The 23,741-nt window shown below is 54.7% G+C and overlaps 1 long non-coding RNA gene across 1 annotated transcript, besides 3 other annotated features; it reads left to right on the top strand.

The window, feature by feature from the left end:
- The first annotated feature begins 1,812 nt into the window (after positions 1-1,812).
- LINC00523 (long intergenic non-protein coding RNA 523) lies at positions 1,813-17,289 on the top strand. Its single transcript, NR_024096.1, has 2 exons — positions 1,813-2,255; positions 16,106-17,289. It is a non-coding gene; the product is annotated as a long intergenic non-protein coding RNA 523 (long non-coding RNA).
- Positions 5,067-6,266: an enhancer, noted in NCBI's record as "P300/CBP strongly-dependent group 1 enhancer chr14:101126859-101128058 (GRCh37/hg19 assembly coordinates)". NCBI's record gives its function as "activates an origin of replication core promoter dependent on BRD2, BRD4, P300/CBP, MED14 and CDK7 cofactors, with strong dependence on P300/CBP, by STARR-seq in HCT116 cells {active_cell/tissue: HCT116}" and the evidence as "EXISTENCE:reporter gene assay evidence [ECO:0000049][PMID:35650434]".
- Positions 11,143-11,644: an enhancer, noted in NCBI's record as "H3K4me1 hESC enhancer chr14:101132935-101133436 (GRCh37/hg19 assembly coordinates)". NCBI's record gives its function as "activates a minimal SCP1, AML or CMV promoter by ChIP-STARR-seq in naive H9 embryonic stem cells {active_cell/tissue: H9 hESC(naive)}" and the evidence as "EXISTENCE:reporter gene assay evidence [ECO:0000049][PMID:30033119]".
- Positions 17,701-18,448: an enhancer, noted in NCBI's record as "H3K4me1 hESC enhancer chr14:101139493-101140240 (GRCh37/hg19 assembly coordinates)". NCBI's record gives its function as "activates a minimal SCP1, AML or CMV promoter by ChIP-STARR-seq in primed H9 embryonic stem cells {active_cell/tissue: H9 hESC(primed)}" and the evidence as "EXISTENCE:reporter gene assay evidence [ECO:0000049][PMID:30033119]".

Below are 23,741 nucleotides of genomic sequence, written 5' to 3' on the forward strand. Positions count from 1 at the left end.
GGAGGACGGTAACCGGGGGCTGTTGTCCTTGGAGTCCCGGTCTGCCTGTATTTATCCTCCTCATTTAACTGAGGGCTGATTATTGTGCTGGGACTGGAGCTGGGCAGGCAGCAGTGCCTGGTGTCTCTGGCTTAATTACAGCTGGAGGAGACGGGAGCAATGAGGCGTGAGCTGCTGGTGACTCCAACACAGGAAACGCTCCTGCAGACGTCCTTCCCTCCTCATTTTTAAGAAATACATGTACAAAGCCTCCCCGATTGAAAAATAATGACCCCACTGGATGGTGACTTTTTGGGGGGCAGCAGGGTCTGCCCTCAGCCTAGCTTCTGGAGCCCCTCCTCACTCTGGTGCTCTCCCCTTTAGCCTCCATCTCCTGACCTCCTCCCTCAGCAGGCTTCCGACTGTCCCCTGGGCTCCAGATGGCAGGGATGGGTTTGGAGAGGTGGCACTGTGAGGTGTGGGGAGGCCTGGCTCCTGCTGGTGGTCCTGAACAGAGGCTGCCATTAGGGTTACAGGTGAGACAGATGGGCACAGATGGGCAGAGCCGATGGCTCTGGAAGTTCAGGGGGTGGCCCAGGGTGGCCCATCTTGCTGGGGCTGCAGTTTCCCTGGGCAGCTGGATGTTGGCTGGCAGCACTGGGCAAAGAGGAGACAGAAGCACAGAAACGGAATCAGGCAGCCCAGCCCAGCCCTCTGTGTCCTGCTGCAGGATAGCCTCCAGTCAGGTAAAACAGGTGGTGGCTTCAGGACTTGCACAGACAGAGCATGTGCTATGTCACTGGGAAGGAGCTCACCGGGAGACAGATGGGGCCTTGGGAAAGCGGGTTCCTGCTGTGGAGCCTCAGTTTCCTCATCTGTGACACGGGGCTTTGGTGAGGGTTGCTGTGAGAATGAAGAGTGAGTGATTTGTGAACAGCCAGCTCACGGCTGAGAGGTGGAGAAAGAAGATGGGGCTGTTCTCTTCCCCAGCTGGAGTCTTGGAGGACAGCAGCTGCCCAGAGGAAATGGAAAGTTAGGTCCGAAGGCTGCTTTGAAATGGTTGGAGGCTGGTTACCCTGAACCCAGCTCTGGTTTGGCTGCTATCAGCTGGCTCACTGGTGAAAACCTCAGAGCTTTTTTTTTTTTTTTTGGTGGGAATTAGAGCCCATGATGGGTGCATGTATTTGGAAACCATAACACTCCATTGGCACATGCGAGAGTGGTTTGCGATGGAACTCAGTCCTCACAACACTGAGGAAACACAGTTGGGAGACTGAGGCACACAGAGAAGGTGGCTCACCCAGGGCCACACGGCAGGGAGATGTGGCAGCTCTGATGGGGACGTCCAGCCTGGTGGCATCTCAGCATACACAGTTAGGGGGTTCCTCTTAGAGAGAAGGAATACAAAATCCTGCGGCGGTGGATATTCAGACATGTGTGGAGTCCCAGCAAGTGGTCCATTCTATATTAGGCAAATATTAGAGACGGCAACGCAGCCAGGCCCTCCCTGCCAGGAAGTGTGGAAACCCTGAGGAATCAGCACCCGCTGTCACTCGAACCCAGGCCTGGACTCCTGCCCCAGTGCTCTTTCCACCAAAGCACCTTCCTCGAATGCACCCGGTTTCCTGGGAGTGAGCTTCTTTGCCACTGGAATGAACAAAAAATCCAGATGAGGATTTCAGGGTGGCTCTGCCCTGCCTGCCTCACACCGCCCTTTCCAGAACAGGCGGGGGAGCGCGAGGCAGGGCGGTTCTCGCTTGGAGACGGGTGGGTGGACTGGAGGGCAGAGGCAGGCTCTGGGTTCTGCACCCATTTACATATCCCCTGCGCACTGTCCGGAGCACTCCTTCCCTTCCCTGGTTCCTCAAGGCACGGCTCCCCCAGGCAGATGAAAGCTTAATAGAGTTTTGCGACATGAAAGTCAGTCGGAGGAAAGAGCCTTGAACAGTTGTGCGTGAGAGAGAGGCAAGCGCCCGAAATTATTTTACGACAAAGGCAGCTCTCTCTGCCACAGAGGCACAGAGGAGAAAGGAGCCCAGGAAACGGGTCATTTCTTTCGTGGAAAAATGGAAATGCTCTGAAGCATTTTGGGAGACGTGCTGTGAAGCAGGTGACACCAGAAGACAAGGACACTGGGGGCTCCCTGCCGGGAGGCGCAAAAAGCAACTCCCGTTCGAGGGTCAGAGGAGCCTGGATGCTAATGTCTCTCCAAAGTGACTTGGAGCCAACTGCCGGAAAGGCCATGCCCTTAGGAGCACAGGCAGGTCCCAGCTCAGGTGAGCCTGAACCTTCTGCCCCATCAGGAGGTTCCAGTGGGAGGAGCTCAGGTGGGGAGGAGTCGGAAGTCAGGATTTCATGCCTCCCTCATTGGCTCTGGGGTTCCCTTTAAGGTGGACACTCGGTGTGGGCAGTGGGAGGCAAGAGTGAAGCAGAGGAGAGCAAGCGTGGTGGTTTAGCAAAGTAAAGCAAAGTAAACCTGGAGGGAGCAAATGACTTTGTCCTGGGTGTGAAAGGGTAAGGCCCCATTGTAGGTCATTTATTCATTCAACAAACACGGGTTGAACTGTGTCTTGGGCTGGCCTCAGAGAAGCTCAAGAAAAGAAAGATGCTGTCATTGCCCCGAGGAGCCACTGTCTGGCATGCAGGCCAACTGTGACAAGCTGTGGTCCAGGTGAGGTGGGGTCTGGACAAGCCAGGAGGGGTTCACTGTGGATGAGCCAGGGAATGGGGAGAGGCCCCAGAGACGGGCTATGAAGACCAGTCTTGGGGCAAGAACAGTAGGTGGGGAGGGGAGGGAGAACCTTCCAGCAGGAGGATGCACCTGTGGCTAAAGCTTGGAGGTGCAGGGAACGCCCCCAAGCACCTGGGGCCACAGTGCAGGGTGTGGCCAGGACAGGAGTCCTGGAGCTGGACAGCCTGAGGGGCCACATGGTGCTGGGCTCTGTTCCCGGTGGGGAGGGGTGGGACTGTCCCTGTGGACAGCAGGGGGCTACTAGGGGCCCTGGGGAGTGGCAGTGAGGGCAGATACAGGATGTGGCCAGGTGGCGCTGGCTCAGGCAAGTGGGATGGGGAGGGGAGCAGAGGCTGCAGCCAGGAGGGCAAAGGGGAGGTGGCTAGGCCATGGAGGGGAGGAGGAGCATGGGGAGAGCAGCATTGGGGGAGCTCCAGAAGGCCCCTGGTGTCAGAACAGAGGGCAGACCTGCTCCTCCTCCTCCCTCCCTCTCTGCAGCTGCAGCCGGAAGGGCCTTGTCCCTGGGAGGGCTGCCTTGACTCCTCCCCTCCAGCCCAGGTGACTTCCGTGCCTCTCTGTGTCCTCCAGGGTGCTGGGCCCCTGGCCAGCCTGTGGCTCCTCCATGCCCCTGAGTGTGTGGGCAGCTCTGCGGGATGAGAGGATGTCAGGGCAGGGCCCACCCTGAGCTAAGTCCAGTTGTCATGGATTTTCCTTTGTTTATTCCATCTTGGGGTCAGACCTAGCCCAGTGCTGGCCAACCCAGCAGTTGTGCTAGCCCAGGACATATACGGGAGGTCTCATGTGTGGCCCGAGCCCACCCTGTCTCGGTCCAGGACTAGGAGGCTGAGGGTCTGGCTGGGGGCAGCATCCCTGGACAGTGGGTGTGGCCAGGGGGGCTCCTTGCCGGGGGATATGCCACAGAGCCCCGCTTCACCACTCAGGGCTGTCCCCGTCCAGTTGCAGGGGACCTGCAAAGTTTGCTCCCCCATGGGGACCTGCAAAGTTTGATGGGTCTGTGTGGGAGTCACTTGGCAAAAAGGGGACTGGCTCCTGCGAGAATTCCCAAGAGGATTCGAAATCCCTGGAGCTTGCCAGACTTCTGCTAGCTGGGGCCAGGGCACTGCCGTGACTCCTCAGTTCTCCCGCTAGGGAGATGGGGCTAAAAGTCTTGCTCTGCCCACCGCAGGGTCTTCTTGGGAGAATAAAACGAGGCCAAGCGTCTCCAGAAAGCTTGGGGCTTCTGCGATCAGGGGGTTGGGATGGAGGCCCCACAGAGCCAGTATCAGCAGAGCAGGGCAATAACCCACATTTCATAATCCTTGAACTTGGACAAACAGACACTGGGTCCCATGTCAGCAGGCCTAAGGCCGGAAGGGTGGCTCGCCACCTTCTGAAGACAGGGATCAGAGGCCCAGACAGGGATTCCGGGGCCTTGGGGCCCCAGCACCATGCCCGAGCTCCACGTGAGAAGATGAGCTCAGGCCTCCGCTCCCTCTAAGCTGGTGGGTGGGAATTTGGGATGGGATTTGTGCGAGGTGAGGAAAATTGTTTCTAGTTTCCTCCTTATGGGGCCTGAGCTGGGCCCCTGTGTCTACCACTGGGGCAGGCCTGGGCCCAGCTGTGGATAGCTGCCATGCCGGCCACTTCACCTCTGGCTCTGCCAAGCCTTGTCCCCGTGGGGCCGCCCTCCACCCCGGCTCTACTGTGCCAGAAAGGAGGCCCCAGAGGCCAGGAGGCACCTGGTCAGCCCACACCTACACCGGCCAAGTAGCAGGTGGACTTTTCACGTGGGAAGCCAGACCAAATCTCTGGGCTCCATTTTCCTGCTAAAGGGAAACAGAAAACCTGGAACCCATCAGTTGTCATTGGGGATGGAGGGGACAGAAGGGACAGGGCCACCTCAATCCTGTCCCTCGAGACCTGAGACAAAGATGTACAAGGTGTGGAGCAGGCAGCGGGACCAGGTTCACTCCCAGAAACCTGGGCTTGGTGAACTAGGGGAGCCTGAGGCTTCGGGGTAACCGGAGAGAACGAGAGAGCTTCCGCACAGTGAGGCTCGCGGCAAGTGCGCAGTAAATGTTAGCCCTGTGGCTGCCCTCCCCGGGACTCAGTTGACCCGTCTCGTCAAACAAAGAAGTCACTCAGAGCATTGGTTCACCCAGGTCCAGGGTGCTGAGAGGGCTGTTCTAGGGGTCTCTGGGTCCCCCATGCCTCCCTTCAACCAGGGAAACTCCCTGAAAATCTATTCTACATTTTGGGCTTCTGGATAAGAATTCACGGGAATAAAGGATCCCACAACTAAAATACATTTTGTAAAAAGGCTGGTTTGGAGACGCATGTGCATACAAAGGGCAGCCCGCAGCCCTCCTGCTCCAAGTCTGTTGGCGGAACTTAAGCCCAGGCAGCCTGTGTGCAAGGGGAGGGCAGCCTGGCTCTGTAGGAGATGGCTGGTTTCAGGGTGGCCTTGACCTTACTATCACGGAGTTCAGTGACCTCTTTGCAGACCTGCTCTGGGCTCAGCTGGGATTCCAGGGACTATCAGCAATTGGAGGGGAGTGTCCCTCCCCACTGAGAGAGGTGGAGAAGGACAGGAGCAGACAGCCCTGCAAATGACTCATCCCTGCCCTCCGTGCCTCAGTGCCCTCATCTGTGAAATGGGTATAATAGGAGTGTCCCTCTTCATAGCGTTGCATGGATGAAATGAGATAATGCATCTAGAGCTCTTAGTGTGGGCGGCCTGGCATGTAGTAAGTGATCAATTAATGGTGGCATGAGTCACTGTTACTCATATTATTATTCATATCGCAGTGCCCTTCGGCTTCTTCAAGAATGTATACTGAGCTGGCCTCACTCCAGAGTTGTTTACTTGTGCTTGTCTTCACAAGGTAATTGAGAAGAGGCCAAAGAGAGCAAGGGCCAGCCCTCCGGCCGCCTGCTTCCCAGGCCGGACTGTTTCCTTCTCCAGGGCCACCTCTGCAAACTCTTCAAAAGAAGCAAGGTCATACTCCCTAGTCTAAGCAAAGGAGGAAACCAAAGGCAGCTTTGATATGTCAGCTTAGGGAACAAGCTGACGGCACGGATCACAAGCGCTGGGTTCTGCCTGAGCAAATGGCTCTAAATGACGTACTTCAGGCTCTCCTCTTAATGTGCTGGGTGTTTATGATTTTTTAAGAAGTGCCTCATCAAAAAAAATGCAATAATGATGCTCCTAACTTAACAGCAGCACTTTAGAAGAGATGAATTATTCACATCAGAGATGAAACAGGGACTCTACAAACTGGGCCAGCTGAAGCAGTCCCTTTCCCGGGAACTATTTTTATCTTTTTTTTACAGTCTTTCATCTTGGGAGACACGCGGTTCGCAATGTACGGGGAGCCCATTGCTTGGAGCCCAAGCTGGCAGGATGTCAAACCTGAAGTACTAGGCGTCTTGGAGCTTCTGCCTGGAGTACGAAATCCGAGGAAACTGAAGTGTGGAAAACGGGGCAGTAGCAATGTGAATGAGGATGATTGAGGGGTGCTGGGGACTCCCTGTTTCTTAACCTTGGAGGGCTCTCAGAGGCATGCTTCTCCATCGTCGACCCAGGGCACCATGGAGCTATCTTGCCCTTTCTTTTCCTGACATCCAATGATTCCCCACCTAATAGTGCATGGAGCTCTTGGGAAAGAGTGTATAGATTCTATATGGTGTGCATGGAGCAGCTGGCCCTGAGGAAGGAAGGGATTTCATTATTGCAAGGCTCAGGGGCAAGTGTGGACTAGCAGGGTCCCAAACTCTACAGGCCTTGACAGTCCAACATTGTCACACTCAACACTCGCCCATTTGCTTTAAAAAGCACCCTAGACCTGCACTCTCTGATATAGCAGCCATGAGCCACATGGGTACTGAACACTTGAAATGCAGTTTGACCAAATCGAAAGGTGCTGTGAGTGCAAGCAGCATACGGGACTTCAGAGACTTAGTACAAAAGGAGAATGTAAACGATCTCGTGAAGATTTCTACATCGATTACACATTGAGATGATAATATTTTGAATACATTGGGTTAAATAAAATATATTGTTAAAATTAATTTCACCTGGTTAAGAGCCAGGTGAAATTTACTTTTCAAAACATGTTGCTAGAAATTGTGAAATTACTTATGTGGCTCACTTTACATTTTTTTTTTTTTTTTTTTGCCCAGGCTGAATGGAGTGCAGTGGCGTGATCTCGGCTCACTGCAACCTCCGCCTCCAAGGTTCAAGCGATTCTTCTGCCTCAGCCTCCTGAGTCGCTGGGATTCTAGGCACATGCCACCACACCCGGCTAATTTTTGTATTTTTGGTAGAGACAGGGTTTCGCCATGTTGGCCAGGCTGGTCTCGAACTCTTGACCTCAGGTGATCTTCCCACCTCGGCCTCCCAAAGCGCTGGGATTACAGGTGTGAGCCACTGCACCCGGCCTCACTTTACATTTTTATTGGACAGCACTGCTCTAGAAAGGGAGCTAGGAAGATAGTAAGTAGTGGCTGACTCTTGGTGGTGGAATTACAAAAGCCTTTCCCCCCTCCTTTTTTAAAAATAATTTTTCTGTGTTTTTTAAGCTTTGCAGAAATGCCACAACTAGCCATTCTTGCTTTATATCTGCAAAGGCACATCTATTATTATTTTTAATGACTCTCAGAGCTTGTTGGGAAATGGGACTGAGTTAAGCAGCTTCCTGGAAGGATCAGTGTCAGCAACCATGCTGTGGGGAGAGTCAGGGAACAGCAAGAGTGTCGGGGGCTTTGAGGACTCCAGAGATTTGAACTGGGCTCAGGGTTCAAGAGCTCAGGTAGGAACCAGAACCCCAGTGAGGGGTGATGGGGAAGCTTATTAGTGAGACACAGGAAGTGGCTCCAGTGATGGCTTCATGGCTTTGGCCTGGTGGGGCCTCTTCCGGTGTACACAGCAGGAAGCTGTGCTCTTCCTGATGGACGTCAGCTCCTATCTCTCCTGGGGAGTGGAGGCTGCTCTGGAGTGGGGCCAAGATCGGGAGGCCCAGGAGAGAAAAGGGCCTGCAATCTACCTCCCAGTCAACAAGATGCTATAATAAAAACATAGCCAACTGTCACTCAGCGTTTATTACGGTGCCAGGTGCTGCTTCACATACTTTCCATATTTTAACTCATCTATTCCTGAATTGCAATCTATGAGATAGGAACTATTATTGTCCCCATTTCACAGATGAGGAAACAGGTGCAGAACCGTGGAGTAACCTGCGCAGGGTCTCCAGTAGAAAAACAGGCCCTTGGTCAGATGAATTTACCCACTTCGGCCACCAGGGGCGCTGTTGGCACAGCTTGAACTCGAGACCAGCGCTGTCCAACGGAAACCGAACGTAAGCCACATTTCTAAAAAGTACACAAGAAAAGTGAAATTAGTGTTATATTTTCTTTAACTCGGTATATCCAAAATAGTATCATCTTGGCATGTAATCAACACGACATTTATTAGATACTTTACTTTTTTTTTGTTAGACTGTGTCTCGAAATCCAACATGCTGTTTGTACTTAAATGCACTTTAGATGTGAGTTCCATTTTAGGCACCCCGTAACGATATGTGGCTCGTGGCTGCTGCATTGAACAGTTCAGCCACTAAAATCAAAGAACTAGCCCAGGATGGCGAATTGGTCCATCCAGTCTACCAACCCTGATTGTTGGTGTTGGTGCTTGGAGGCATGCTGTGATTGATTAGCAATGTCTGCTGTGAACGTGGAAGGGGCACTGTGGGAGGGTCTGTGTCTCCTGTATACTGACTGATCATGAGCCATGCCAGCACAGTGAAAAGAGACCTCTGTATTCCTGTGGGTGGTCGTGCACCAAGGGTTGTGGTGACCTCCCCCTCCTCTGCCCTCCTGTGGTTTTTACTGTGTGCGGTGGGCCAGGCTCCAGGTATACTGATCCTGGGTCCTGTGTTCACATTCCTGTGCCTCTGTTTTCTGGCTGTGACTCCAGATGAGCCACTATACTTCTGCGAGCCTCAGCTTCCATATCTGAAAAATAGGCGTAATAACCACTACTTAGCAGGACTGCTACATATATGAAGAATTGGCATTCAATAGACATAGAGTAAGTGGTGGCTCCCCATTCTTCCTCCTGCTTCCCCCCCACTCTCCTCAAGACAGACTCAAAGTCTGTCCTCACCCAAAACCCTCTCGGGAGGCAGACAGCTCCTTACTGCGCCTTCTTGGCGATCTCTCTGCCCCATCCAAGGCTGAGTGAGGCCTCCTGCTTGCTGGCTTCCTGCAGTGCCCCTCTGCCGGCCCCTTCTGTCAAGGCCAAGGACCGACTCAGCCCTCAGCAAGCTAGCACAATAGCCCTCCCCATCTCTGGCTCCAAGTGGGCTCTCACCTATCAGACAGCTGATGATGCTGAGACACTCTGCTGGTTCCATGGTTTTTTTGTTTTAGTTTTTTTGAGACAGAGCCTTGCTCTGTCACCCAGGCTGGAGTGCAGTGGCTTGATCTCGGCTCACTGCAACCTCCACCTCCCTTGTTCAAGCGATTCTCCTGCCTCAGCCTCCTGAGTAGCTGGGATTACAGGTGTGTGCCACTATGCCCGGCTAATTTTTTTGTGTTTTTAGTAGAGACAGGGTTTCACCATACTGGCCAGGCTGGTCTCGAACTCCTGACCTTGTGATCCACCAGCCTCGGCCTCCCAAAGTGCTGGGGTTACAGGCATGAGCCACCGCACCTGGCCCTGGTCCCATGTTTTTTAATAACCACCCCCCTCGGCCACTGTAGACAAGGACGTTCTCTTCCCGGCCTCCAGTTAGGACACTGGCTCTCCTCCAGCTCAGCATGCAGAGGCCTCCCATGGCCTGTGCCAGTTAGCACCTCTCCCAAGACACCTGGGGCCCCCTTCTGGGGAGGAATTTACAATCAAGCAACATCTGGCAGAGAGTGAACTGTAAATGGTGAACACGCTGGCGAGGCAGCGACTCCAATTAGGAAACAACTAGATTTCTCTAAGTATGATGGGAAAGTAATTCTCTGGCCAACAGAGTTTAATCAGAATGTTTTATGCAAGACGTATCCCTGACCCTGACAAATCTTCCCCTTCTTGCTGGAAATTAAACAAATACATTGTCAGCGCGGATTCCGATGAGCGCATAAACAGATGTGGGCTGGTACAATCATGAAATTGAGGAGTTTCAATGACTGAGACGAGCAAGAAACAGGCTGGAAGCTCTGCTGTGTCCTCTAGGCTTTTAGCCATTCCTGCTGTGTGCTGGGGGCCCCAGGAAAACAAAGACTTTCTGCCTTGTCTGTGGCGTCTCTCCATACCCCACCCCCAAAGAGACATCCTTTTCCTCCTTGTGACCCTGTAGTCTAAATGGCATCCTGAATTCCCTTCGGTTCCAGCTCCTGCCACCCTGCCCTGGGAGCATTTGCCCCAGCATCTGTCTCCCCTGGCAGGCCGTTCTGATGTGTCTTCACAGCCCTGGCATCCGGGACAATGCCTGGCACACAGCAGACCTTGAACAACTGTTTGCAAGAGGAAGAGAGGGAGGGCGGGAGGGCGAAGTCCGGGGACTCTGCCTTCCAGGAGGTTCCGTGATCAAAAGCTGACTTGCTTCTGAGTCTGTGGAGCTGAGCTGCAACTCAGCCAGGCTGCAACTCTGTGTGAGGCACTGTTTACTGACCAGGAAAGTGGGCAGAATGGCAGGTGGTTGCTGTGAGAATTACTTAAGGCAGTTGACTCATCTGGCACAGAAGAGGCATGAGCTGGTGGTGGTGGCAGTCGGTGGCTCACACTCCATGGGAAGCAACACTCACTGTGCCGAGTGCCTTGGTGGCAGTGTCGGGGCAAAGACAGAAGGAAGGCGGGAGAAAGACCAATGGTTCCATCCCAGAGGAGGGTGCTACTGGGCTGGCTCTTGAAGTCCCAGAGAGGTGACTCACCTAAAATCTCTCAGAGGGGGACGTTCTCGGGGCAGCCTGGCTTCCCCAGCGCCTTCGGAACCTAACACCTGGGCTTTCCCCCTTGCGCTTTCCCAGGCGCTTTTGGTAGCGTGTAGGCTCATGGACCCTTACCCAGGTCTTCTCATTGACTGTGGAAAATCACCTGGAAAACTTTAGAAGATTCTATTCCCCCAGACCAGCCTTGGAAGTTCTTGTTCAGGAACAGCAGGATGAACCCTGCCTCAGGGTTTGGGACAAACTGCCCAGGTGTGGACCATCCATTTAGCAAATGACTGTAAACGGTAGTGCTTTAGTGACTTGAGCACTCAATGGGATCCAGACAGACAGAGCAGGTGAGAGAGGACTGAGTGGGTCAGAGCCAGCCTGGCCGAGTCCCTGCTCTCCACTCTCCAGCCCTTCCCACTGTGTTCACCTGGGGGCAGGGATTTCCATTGCACAGGGAAGGAATGTGCTGTGCCCAGGGACACCTCCCCCATGGATCCCCATCCAAGGACTAGAATGCTGCCTGGCCCCTTGCTACAGCGATCCCGTGCTTTCCTTTCTCTTTGAGTTGGTACTGTTATCTCAACAGCCTTGGCTTTCTGGGTGAAGATCAGCAGCCATCCAGGCAGGCATTGCAGAGTGATAGATTCTAGGGTCAGACAGGCTGGTGCCCTCCTTATATTATTGACAAAGAAGAAAAAGAGCTCAGGGACAGAGTGGACCCCCTCATCATTCTGGCTTTGGAGATGTGAGACTGTGCTTCTCCTTCTCATGAGACACAGGGAAGAATTCAGGGGGATAAGTACAGACTATGCCAGTAGCTCAGACAGTCTTGGCCTGCATCTCCAGGCGTCCAGGGGGTTGTGAGGTGGGTGGAGCTGGTGAAAAGTGCTGAGGTCGCCCTCATGCCTCCCAAGCCTACCTCAGGCATCTTGGAGAGGGGCTGCAGAGAGCTGACGCCTCAGCGGAACACCCGCGGTAGTCCCCCAGCCCTCAGCCTTCACTCCCCTGGCCCTACCTCTCCCAGGCTCTTGGCCCCCTCTCTCCAGCCGCCTGTGTGACTGTAGCCACCATCACGGGTCTGAATAGCACATGGCCTTCTGGGAGGCGAGTGGGGCTTGAGTCTCTTCATTTTACAGGTGAGGAACGTGAGCTTGGGGAGGCAGAGGACAAAGCCTGGCCTGCAAGACACTGAGCTTCACCTCTTCCAGGAGGACGACATCATCACCATTTCTCAGATGAGGAAACTGAGGCTCAGAGAGATGCAGTGACCCACCAAGGCTGAGTGCAGGAATGTTGGCCCTCAGCATCCACCCTGGGCCCTGCATTGCCCTGGTTGTCTATGTGGCCCCAGCCCTCCTGGGCCATTTTGATCTGTTTTGTGCATTTGGGGCACGTGTATGAGAGCATGTTTGGAGAACTATGCTTTATAGCAAGAAGGTTTGAAATCACCAGACTCAGCCTTTCAGCGTAGGAGGGAGACTGAGGCTGGAGAGGGCGAGGCAGGAGCCTGGCCCACATGCAGGGCCGGGAGTCTCCCTGGGCAGCAGAGGGTCTGGGCAGAACATGGATGTCCATACGGTTATTAAGAAGGGGTGGCTGGGCACCCTGCCCGAAATGTCCTCGGTCACCCACTCACGTTCCAGGAGGCAACTGGGCCCCGGGAAGCGAATTCTCCAGGCCTCCTGAGGAGCATTCATTAGCCACGCACACAGATGGAGAGCAGCGGCGCCCGGGAGGCCGGAAGCGGCCCCTCGCTGCTCGCCAGTGGATCAAATGTTCCCTGGCTGGGTGGACATGGGTATTAGCCCTCTCTTGTCCCCTAAACGCTGATGCCTGGTCTCATCTCGAAAAAACAGTCCCTGTGGCAGTGCCAGGCAGCTGGGCTCTCACGGAGGGGGCCGCTTGGCCTCAGGACCCAGAGCAGCCGTGGCCAGATCTTCCTGTAGTCCATGCAGCTTCCCCTGGCCACCTGGCCAGTTGTGACCACACCTGGGACACCAGGCATGCACAGTGGGCCTGGCCTGGTGGCTCGCCCCAATGCTAACTCAGCGGCTGGCTGGGGTCGGAGGCATGAGAAGGGGCAGTGGTCTCTGGCTTCCTGGATGGAGTCTGAGAGGCAAGGAGTGCCAAGAGCCCTGTCCAGTGCAGGGGGAGATGCGCACAGAAGACAAAGAGGAGGCAGACCAAGATGGACAGGGGCAGCGGTGAGGGGTGGGCATGAAGGAAGCTTCTGGAATCAGGCTGAGGAAGGGAGGGGGTCAACTGCTGGCTCTTCAAGAAACCCTGCTATAGCTGATCTGTAAGCTACGGACCACCCAGCAGCCTCACACATGCACACAGGTGCACATGTACTCACACCATCTACCCTCACACACACCTGCGCACACACTCATATGTTCCCCCATGTACACACAGTCCCAGGCCATGCCCTGAGAGGAATGGGCTGTGTCCAGAGCCACTGGGGGCAGAGTCCAGTCAGCACATGTCGGGGAGGCAGGCAGGCGTCCTGGTGCACAGCCATGGAGGCAGCCTTCCCTGGGCTAGAATGCCTTGGAACCCCCGCCCCGCACCCAGGCACCCAGGCATGATGAGGCCTTCCCCTGGCACAGCACAGGCTGGGCCCAGCAGAGCTGAGCTGGGCAAAAGTGATGCCCAGTTCTCTGTGCTCTGCTCCATTCATCTGGGCTGGGTCTCAGGATGTCCCATCCCCCAAGTTCCCCTGTGTCTGGGGTTCCTAGGTTTGGGTTCTTGCCCACCTGCCTCTCTGCCTCAGGAGGACGGAGTGGCCGCATGAGGAGGGGGCTTTGATTGGGGGTCTGGCTGTGACCGGTGCTTTGCTTGGTTACTGATCATGGGACCGCCAGCCTCAGCCTACTTGTCCTTCTGTGCAGGCATCTCCTGAGCACCCAGTCCCTGGCAATTCAGTCTGGTGAACTGGCTGCAGAGGCTGGGCTGAGGCTTCTGTGCCCCCGTCTGTTTTAATGACTTCCTCTAAGGAGGTTCAGGCTGGCTGCAGGCTGGCTTCCTCTGACATGAAGGCGTGTCCTTCTAGCAGGAGGTCACTGGGGGGCTGTGTCTTCCCGGGGTCTTCATTCCCACATGGGGCCCATCCCTCGAAACAGTTAATGGAGGCCTGCCAGGTGCTGGTGCTGGGCTGGCGTTGGGGCCTTCACACAGGAGGGCGAGCCTGAGACCCTCTGACGCACTCCTCCTTGCCTCGGCACAGCTCCAGCCAGGGGGACTGAGGGAAGGCTTCCCAGAGGCGGTGACCCTGACATTGGGTTCCCAGGAGTGAAGAACATTTTGACAATCAGCAAGGAGAGCGTTCCAGACGAGGAAGCTGCATGTTGAGGTGAGGAGGAAGGCACGGCCCACAGCCCTGGAACTCTGGGAGCTGGGGCTCTTCTTAGGAGCCTCCTTGAGCACTTTTAAGCCTGATAAGAGCTATGATTCCTGAGGGCTGAGAGCACTTAGCTTTTACTCCTGCGTCCTCCTACTGAGCACAGTGCTGATACCAGTATCAGTTGAATACGCGAACGTGCAAACTGCCCCACCCCCGCCTTGCTCCAACACACACACACACACAGACACTCTTGCAGAAACAAATGTTCAATGCTGGCTGACATACAGCGACAGAAGAACAATTGGGGGAAAACACTCCTTCCACTTCACGATCTTCGCACACGCTGTCTGCCTGACGGGGACACTGTGCCATGCCCGCCCCCAGTCTGTTCTCAGGGCGTGCTGTGTCTGTCTTATTCCTGCGGTGTCCCTCCTGCCATGCACAGAGCTGTCCATTGGTAAATATTTATTGCTTGAATTCATGTGCTCCAAACACAGAAATATGTGCTGCATACCATTTAGTAAATGAAGTTGCTAAAGTGAATGTCCACACGGGGCTCCTGGCTGATGACAGAAGACTAAGACAAGAAAAGGGGAAAAGTGGGGCAAAAACGCACCAGGCTTCTGTTCAGCAATGTGTCTCCACTTAGAGAAACGGCCCCTGGCTGCCTGTCTAAGCCACTACTCCTTGCTCAGAGAACAAGAAGTTCCTTGCCTCTCTGCACATGCGGAGCAACCCTGAAGCCTCAGTTTCCCCATCTGCAGCATGGGGACAGTGAGGAGCCTACAGGGTTATTGTGAGGATGGGTCATAATAACATGGACAAAACACTCAGCGTGGTGCCTGGCACAGAGCAGAGTCCTGGGAGTGGTGATGCTCGTGGTGGTAAGGGCCACCCACCTGGAACCCAGAATGTGGCTCTTCCAGGGATGGTGGCAAACCTTTGGCCACCTTGGCAGTGATGAAACACCAGCCTTTGGTCTCTGGCCAAAAACTGCCTCTCCGGGGGCCTACCCCATGCCTGGCATCCTGAACTTGCTCTTGGGCTATTTAGAATCAACCTGATCCCTCTTATCCACCCAGACTCAGTTTCCCAACCTGGTAAATTGGGGCCAGTTGAACAGGCTGACATTCCCTGACAAACAGCCTGTCGTTCTATTGCCGCCTGCTACAAGTGCACCTTTCACTTTCTGCAAACAAAACAAAAAATAAAAAAAACCTCTGCTGCTTCCTGGCATTCTTGGGGCTCGCTCATCCGGGGGTGGACCAAGGGTGGGCCTCTTTTCAGGGATGCCGGTGCTGTGACCTCCCCCAGGGCCCATCTCCACTGGGGCAGCTAGAAGGGGAGAAGCCGGCTTGAGTTCCCACTCCCCACGCGCCTGCCACTTCCAGCGCAGAAGCAATTTGCTTTCATTATGAAGGCCATGGCAGAGTCTGTTTGCAGAAGGACTAAGCTTCTCAGCTGCCTGTACTGCGGGGAAAATTTTCCTTAATTATTTTTTTATAGCCTAACTTTTGTGTGAGAGGGTTTGTTATTATCCCTGCCTCGCTTGAGAGTCATAAGCCCGCAAGAAGAACCATAAATAAAACTTTACTTAATATTCAAAGTCTGTACGATGAGATGATGGATGGGGGGTGGGCAGGCGGCCCCCCCACATTGGCGGAGGTGCACCCGGCTTTCTGCCGGAAGGCAATTACTTTCAGCTCCTTGTAATCAGAACCGCTTCCTACCTCTGCATTTTGTTTTTCCAACTTTCTCATTTAAAACCAGGCTGGGTGACATTGTATCCCATTTGTATTGTGTCAAGGGAGATTACTTGGGGCGCTGCTGTGCCCAGGGCCACTGGGATGGCAATACTTTACCTGAGAATCCACCTCTGAAACATTGAAGCACGGCGGCAGCAAAGGCAGGGCCATGATTTGAACCCCAGATTCTGAAGCGTGGGGGACAAATGCCTGGCAGTGGAATTAATTTTTCTTGAGGAATAGAAGAGCTATAACGTTTCCCTCTATTATTTCAAAACCTGGAAGCTGACTCTCTAGGGGCCTGAGCTACCACAGGTAAAGTGGAAATGGAGGGGGCTGTCCTGGAATACACCAACGTTCTTGATTCCTCTTCTGCAGGGATCAAGAGGTCTGCTGTGTGACCTTCTTCAAGTTCCTGACCCTCTCTGGGCTGCAGTCACCTTATTCAGAAAATGGAGAGGCTAGACAAGAAAATGATGCTAATCTCACCCTTTTCTGGGCTGGCATTTTATTGAGCACCTACTAGGCGCTGGGCATTTTGCTAGGCCCTTCGTGCACACTGCCATGAGAAATCCACAGCAACCCCAGAGATGGGTTCATCAATAACTCACCAGCAAATACTTCCTGAGGCCCCACTGTGTGCCGAGCATGGGCATAGGTACTGGGCACACCTCGATGAACAAGGGAGGTAAGGATGTGACTCTCCTAGAACTTTCTGTCGAGAAGAGGAGATGGAGAATAAACATGGAAACAAGCAAGATCATTCTGGAGAAAATGCAATCAGATGATGTGCTAGATGGTAACAGAGAGAGGTCGAATGAGAGAGAGGGCCGTGACAGCCTCTCTGAGAAGCTGAAATCCAAGCAGAACCTGAAAGACGAGGAGAAACTCAGATACATAAAGACTGGGAAAAGCATTCAAGTAGAGGGAACAGTGCGTGCAAAGGCCCTGAGGTGGGTGCAGTAGATACCACAGGCCCCCTCACTCGAGACCACTCCAAGCACCTCCTGCCCTCTTGTGCCACAGAGCTCAGAAAGCTAAAGCAATGTTCCCCAGAGGTCCTGTGGCCAAGGTCCTGCATGGGCCTGGGTGACCCCTGCAGAAGCTTCTGAGCAAGACTGAGCAGGGAAAGAAAGGCCATGTCAGAAAACCATCCTCCAGCGAGCATGGAGGCAGAGAGTCTCATCCTGGCATCCCAGGTGCTGAGCAGAGCAGACAGCAGCAGAGGGGCTCCCTAGAGCAGCTGGGGGCCCTGCCTGTGCCGTCGCTCTTTCCCCTCCCTGCCCTCTGGTCTGACATCCCATTGGCATCACACACGATGCCTCCCGGAGGTGCTCTTGTGCACACAGCAGGTCAAAGTGCCAGAGAATTAGATCCTGTCCTCTTGGGAACAGCCCTCAGCCAGCAGTGAGCCCTTAGGAGGATGCTCCAAGCTCTATCCTCCCCGGGTCCAGAGGCCCTGGGATGGAGCGCCATTGTGGAAGCAGTGACAACTTGATGAAGCTCCCTGGGCTGGCCCCTTCCTCTCTGCCTTGTTCCCCGTTCCCTGCAGTCCTGCAATCACCTCCCAAATAAACCATGTGCCCTTGCTGGAATACTTGTCTCTGGGTCTGCGTCTGGGCACCTGCACGGCACGTGCTTGTGTGTTTCTCTCAGCTGATTTTGTTCCCACATGGGCAGAGTCAAGCTTGGTTTCCTGGAGATCTCAAAAGGCTTCGGGCACCCCCGACCAGCCCCATTCTGATGAAATTCATGAGAAGGGATCCCGATGACGACAACTAAGACCTGCTGGATACTCTAGGTGTCTACTCTCATCAGCCCCTTTCTCCAGGCAAGCTCATGAGACTTGGGGATGGCGCTGTCCTGGCTCTTGGGGTGATGGATTCTCAGGCTCCTGCCTTGGTCCTGGGCTGGTCCTCATCCTTTGGTAAGTGTGCTCTTTGCAGGAACTGAAAAGGTTAATGGGGCTTCCGCAGGCTCCCAGCCAGCTGCTAGGTAGCAGCTTGGACAGCCTGACGATGTAGCTCATTAGGTAGCTGATTACAGATGAGGACGGCAGCATTATCTCACTCCTCAGGCAGAGACGCGGCCACGAGCCGGCTGCCCTGCCAGCCCTCTGACAATAGCGTCGCGTTGTTTGCTTAGCTCAGGCAAACATGCTGCTCTGTACCTGGCCGGGGGTTGGGGGTTGGGCTCAGGGACTCAGAGGAGGAAGCAGCTCAGCTTCTCTCCAGGGGCACCCAGCAGACAGTGAAAGCGCCAGCCAAAGCCCCTGGTAACAGGAGACAGAGGGCTCCTGCTGCCCTGACTGCTCTCGACCCGCCCTCGACCCGCAGATACAGGGGTGGGAGCCCACTAACATCCTGTGACCGACACCGGCAGGCAGCGAGAGATGGGAGGCAGAAGAGCGAGCCCAGGGTCCCCAGGGCTTCGTGAAGCTGTGGAACCAACACCAGCAACTGTCCACCTCCAGGTTTCTCTCTAAGTGAGAAAAAAAAAAAAGCCTTGTGTGTTTAAGCCGACACAGATTGAGTTTGCTGTAACTTGCCTCCAATACCATTCATAATTTATAAGCTCATGTGCTGGCCCACAGAAGCAATCTGAACAAATTCTGAAAGTTTAAATCACTTGAGTCATGTTAAAAACAGTGCGGGATCTCCTTTATGTCCTCAGGAAACAACCTCCTCCAGGCCTCCACCCCAACCTTGGCCATCCCTTGGTGAAGGCACTTTACCACATTGTCATATACATAAGTAGCATGTGCTTTGGAGTGTGAGCTCTTGAGGCCAGCCCAGGGTCTGGCACAGAGCCCGACTTGGGGAGATGGTCAGATGGTGTTTGTTGAATGACTGAATGGTGTGCATGAATGAGTGAAATGGGATTCTCATGAGAAGGGCTGATTCAAGACCCTTTCCAATTCTGTGAGTCCACAATTCCTCGCTGAATTTGGGGCTAGTGAGGGAAGAACTGGGAGTTGAGTTGGTGCTGAACTAAAGCCCTGGTTTGTGGTGTTGCCAATTTCCCTGGTGTAAATACTCCCACCATGGCTGGTTCAAGCTGCCAAATGTTTAAAAAACAGCTCACAAGATCTCTTGAAAATTTAACAACGGGTTCTTACGAGCCAGTCAAGCCATCTCCAGCCCCGCGTTTATTTCTACTCATTTTCCTTCCTTCCGAGCAGGAGGCGCAAGGGAGTCCATCTCTGCAATGGAGACTGAGGGGGAAAGGGGCCAGAGGGTGGGCATGCAGATGTCGTAAGGGGCTTGGAGTTTTTCCTAAGGGCAGTGTTATTTATTTTTAAGTGTGTTCAGATTGGCATTTTACTGTGCTTCTGAGTAGTGCAGACAGGAGGGGATTAGAGCCAAGTTGCCATAGGCAGGCAGGGGAGCTGGGAGGCTGCTGGTCCCGTCCCAGTGGAGAAGGAGTGGGGGATTAGGAACTGCTGAGAAGTGGTGGTACTGCAGCCTCATGCTGGCCTGACCGTGGCTGGCCCGGGGGCTGTTACAGGAGGGTGACCCAGCGGGGCCACTGCATGAGTGCTGGTGCCATTTTCTGAGATGGGAAAAAAAACTGGAGGAGGAGTAAGATTTAGGGGAAAGAAGAGGAAACTCTTGCCTGCCTGCCCATTTTCCTCCTGAATTCTCCCCTTTGGGGAGGTCTGGTCTGGGGCCTGGAGGGCTCTTGCATAAGGCACAGCCTGCCATTTGGTTAGTAGGGGAAGGGGTGGAGGGATGGATGAGAGGTTAAGCAGACAGATACTGACTACGGCTGTGTGTGTACAGGGACTTCTGGAGGGTCCTGACATGAGGGGATGCAGTGAGGACACTCCACAGTGCCCGCTGCGGAAACAAGGGACCCAGCTTGAGATGTGCAAAGGACTTTGAACGCCAGGGAGCAAAATGAGTGTGACAGCAAGCAACCTGTGGTCCTCCGGCTGGGACCCTGGCTGGGCTCTGAGATGCTCCCCACTGGGTTTGGGGGGCTGCACGGGCAGCCAGAAGGCCAGCTCAGGACTTTTTCTGGGGGCACACGACACAGTCGTTTCCCAGGCCAGACAGGTACACAGGATTAATAAGGCCAACACGCTCTCCCGGGGGTGTGCAGCTGAGCTAGCCTTGCTCCAACTGAACCATCAATCACTCCCCGCTAATAGCTCTGCAGGCGGCCACTCTCCCCACCAAATTTAAAGCGAGAATCCGGGCTGCTGGGAGGAAGATGCTGCAGCCCCTAACCACCGTAATTATGAAGTCTTGTTGGGGAGAGATGCTTATCTTTAATGTTAAGTGAACAGAGCAGGAGACCAAACGTCCTGCCTGCGTGTGTGCGTCCATGTGCAGAAACGTCTGCCTGGAAACAGGGCTGCCTGAGACCCTGTCACTTTCAAAGTGGGGATGGAGAAATGAGCTGGGGGCACTTCTTACCATTAAAACTGCAATTAATGATATTGATACCTTATTCTTTTATTTTAAAATGTTATCTTTTCTCTTTACCTTAAAAGGAATCAGTTCACTGTGAAATAGGTGGGAAATACATGAACACAAAGAAGGAAATTGAGACCCCATAAGGCCCTGCCACAGGCCAATGACCAGGGTGGGGGTTTTTGTTATGGGTTTTGCCCCATGGCTAGGTGCATGCACGTTTTGTTGTTTTTACATAGTGGAGATGATTCACTGTATTTTTAATATGTATTTTTAAGTAAGTGACTAGTCCCAGGGGTGGGGCTGAACTGAGAATGCACATTCTGTTAATTTAACCAGTAAATCCGATTTTCAAATTCCCCTTACAGGGAGAGAAAGGAGAATATTTTGCTCACTTTCAATCGTTATCGACTCATCCCCCCAAAGCCGGCAATATCGACCCTGCCTTCCAACACACTTCTGGAGCTTGCCCGGCACACGGGGTTGATGCCGGGCGCTCCAAGGGGGCTGGAGCCCTCACCCCGGCTCACACTGGCCTGAGATGAAGAGGCAGCTACAAAGTGCTGAGGCTCAGGTGGTGTCCCTGGAGGAGGCCTCTCTGTGGTTCTCTGTGACTTAGAAAGTCAGAACTAAGGTTGGAGAAGCTCTGTCCTGGAAAGGCATTCTGGGTGGGGGAATGGCCTAAACAAAGGTGGGGAGGCAGGAACGCAGATGAGGAGGCAGGCGGCCCGCAGTTCAGCTGGCTGGGAACGCAGCCAGCTTTTCTTTGGGTGTAGTCTTTTGCGCCCGGGTCATTCTGAAGAGTGACTTGGACTCTGAAGAGGCTCCCTGGTTACTCCCCACTTTTCCTCAAAGCTCCAGCGCTGCTTCCTCTGGGAAGCCTTCCATGGTTTCTCTGACGGAGACACTCCCCTACTCCAGGCCTGCAGCACTCACCTGCATCTCACACTGCGATGCAAAATTTGTGTGATTAATGGGTTCAAATGTGCCCCCCTCCCCTGGACTTTACAGGGTGCTGGAGCTGCTGGCTTGCTGTTCCCAGTGCCAAGTCCCATATGGGTGCTCAGCCATATGGAAGGAAGGTGCTCACAGTCCCCACAATCTATCAACCCACCCTGCGGGTGGAGGTACCGTGACTGTGGCCCCCACACCCCGCCCCTCAAGCTCCTGCCTGGCTGGAGCGCCCGCCTGGACCTGCCTGGCCTCTCAGCTACTTTGTTGTGAGGTTCTAGGCATGGAGATGAGTTTCTAGTGACTCTGGCTTGTTTTCTTCCCTTTTTTCCTGGTGATCTTTCTGTGTAATTAAAAGACAGCTATTTGGCTGGGTGCGGTGGCTCATGCCTGTAATCCCAGCACTTTGGGAGGCTGAGGCGGGTGGATCACCTGAGGTCGGGAGTCGGAGACCAGCCTGACTAACATGGAGAAACCCTGTCTCTACTAAAAATACAAAAGTAGCTGGGCATGGGGGCAGGTGCCTGTAATCCCAGCTACTCGGGAGGCTGAGGCAGGAGAATCGCTTGAACCCAGGAGGTGGAGGTTGAGGTAAGCCAAGATCGCGCCACTGCACTTCAGCCTGGGCAACAAGAGTGAAACTCCCTCTTAAAAAAAAAAAAAAGAGCTATTCTAGGAGACGAGGCAGCTGGAAGCAGAAACGCTGCTCTCTGCTTATGTGTGTGGAAATTTATTGTCTAGAGTACAGAATTCCGCTCGAGGCTCCAGTGTCAAAACAGACGCTAGGGTGAAGACCCAGCCCAGCCTCCCTCCTCAAGCCTGCTCTGCGCCCACCCTTATCCACATGGTGGCTTCCTGGAGCTCTTGCCGCCCCACTGGGTGAGGTGACAGCCTCCATTTCTTGAGGAGCACTAACTCTGCCAGTCTGATGACATCCACAGAACCTGTGAGCCTCACGCCAGGGGGCAACCCAGGCTGACAGCTGTGGTGTCCACCTGGAACCTGCCCCGGAGGGCTTGGAAGTTGTGAAGCCCATACTCCTTCCACCGGGCATGCTGCTGGTGCTGGGTGCCCCGGGGAGCGCAGCAGCACAGCTCCCACCTCCCTGACACAGAAGCCCAAGCCTGTGCTTCTGCCTGGCCTGGCCGTTTGAGAGGCCCCTTCCTTCCCCCAGAACCGGAAACTCCAGGCAATGTCAAGGTCATGCCTAGCCTGGAGGAAGTGCCTGTAAGCGGCCCAGCCCAGAGCACGGCGGGTGCAGCCCCCAGTGGAGACAGCGGGGTCCAACTTCCAGTACCCACTCATTGGCCGCATGCCTCTAGCACAAAGCTGTCTTTCACCCCACTCTGGTCTACAGAATCCTGGGAAATATATTTTCTGGTTGGAAATCCTTTGTTAGTTGGGCCTTCATGGTACTGGCATCTGTGAGCCCCTTTCGGCACCTCTGGGAATGGCCCCCCGCAAACTCGCTGGGTCCCAGGGTGGAGGGTTAGGAGGCCTGGCTGGCCTCGGAGCCTCTGCCTGGCCAGGCCTCCGCCCCTTGGCTCGCCACAGCCCGCAGCTGCTGAGGATAATGCATGCGCTGGCCCGGGCCCAGCTCCCCTAAGCCATGGAGAATTGCAGTTTAGCAAGTTCGTCAAATCCGCCTGAGGCAGGAGCCCAGAGCCACATCTGCAGCATCCAGGCATCCCAGCGGCTTCCTTATCACGTCCGCCTCCACCCAGGGCCTCTTCCCACAGGCCTGGATTAGGCCCCCGGCAGCTGGGCAGGGGTGGGGGCCAGGGGAGCAGGGGACGCTGAGCTGGGGGCCCAGGGCCCCAGCCAGAGAGGCCCCGGTCTGCTCCGCCCTAACTTCCTTGTGTGGCCCTGAGGAGGGAGATGCAGCCTTCTGGGTGGATGGATCCTCCTGCCCATCCATGGGGTCCTGGAGGTGGCAGCCACAGCTGGGCAAACCCATACCCCCAGGCCAGGAAACAGCGGCTGGGCAAGGCTCATGCCGAGGGACCCAGGGGTGGCTTGAAGGGTGCTGGGAGAGCTCGGGCTCCTCGGGAAGGGGGGTGGGTAGAGGGAGCATGGACAGTGGGCCCTGTGCCAGCAAAGCACAGCATCTGGAGGAGGGTGGAGGCAGGAATGCTGTGGGGAGGTGGCCGGCAAGGTCTTAAGAGCCACGCTATGTTGGTGACGCTGGGTCTGGTGAGCTGCTGGGCTGGAGCAGGAAAGCCAGGAGGGATCTGAGGCCTGGACAGGGGGCAAGAAGTCCCCTCCCCTGCATTCTCAGCCTGGAGCCCAAAGATGTGGCATTCAGAGGCACCTGTTTGGACCATCAAAGCATCTGTGAGGTCTACCAGGCACTTCCATGGCTGGGAAACATCAGTGGCCCCTTCCCCAAGAGGAACACTACAGGCTTCATGAACCACGGGGCCGAAGGGCCCAACCACTCCCTTTAGCCCCTCAGGGTAAGCCCAGCCAGGCTGCTGGGGCATCCACAAGGTCCCAGATGCCACCCAGAGACTTGCTTACCTCCGGGACTAGAGAGCTCACTACCTCATTGAACGTGCATTCCTTTGTGGAGGAGGTCTCATAGCTAGGAAAGGGCTTTCTAGTACTGCTCCGGGGCCACAGCGCATCTGGAGGTGGCAGTCATG

The sequence above is a fragment of the Homo sapiens genome, chromosome 14, assembly GCF_000001405.40.
Source record: "Homo sapiens chromosome 14, GRCh38.p14 Primary Assembly".
Taxonomy (NCBI): domain Eukaryota; kingdom Metazoa; phylum Chordata; class Mammalia; order Primates; family Hominidae; genus Homo; species Homo sapiens.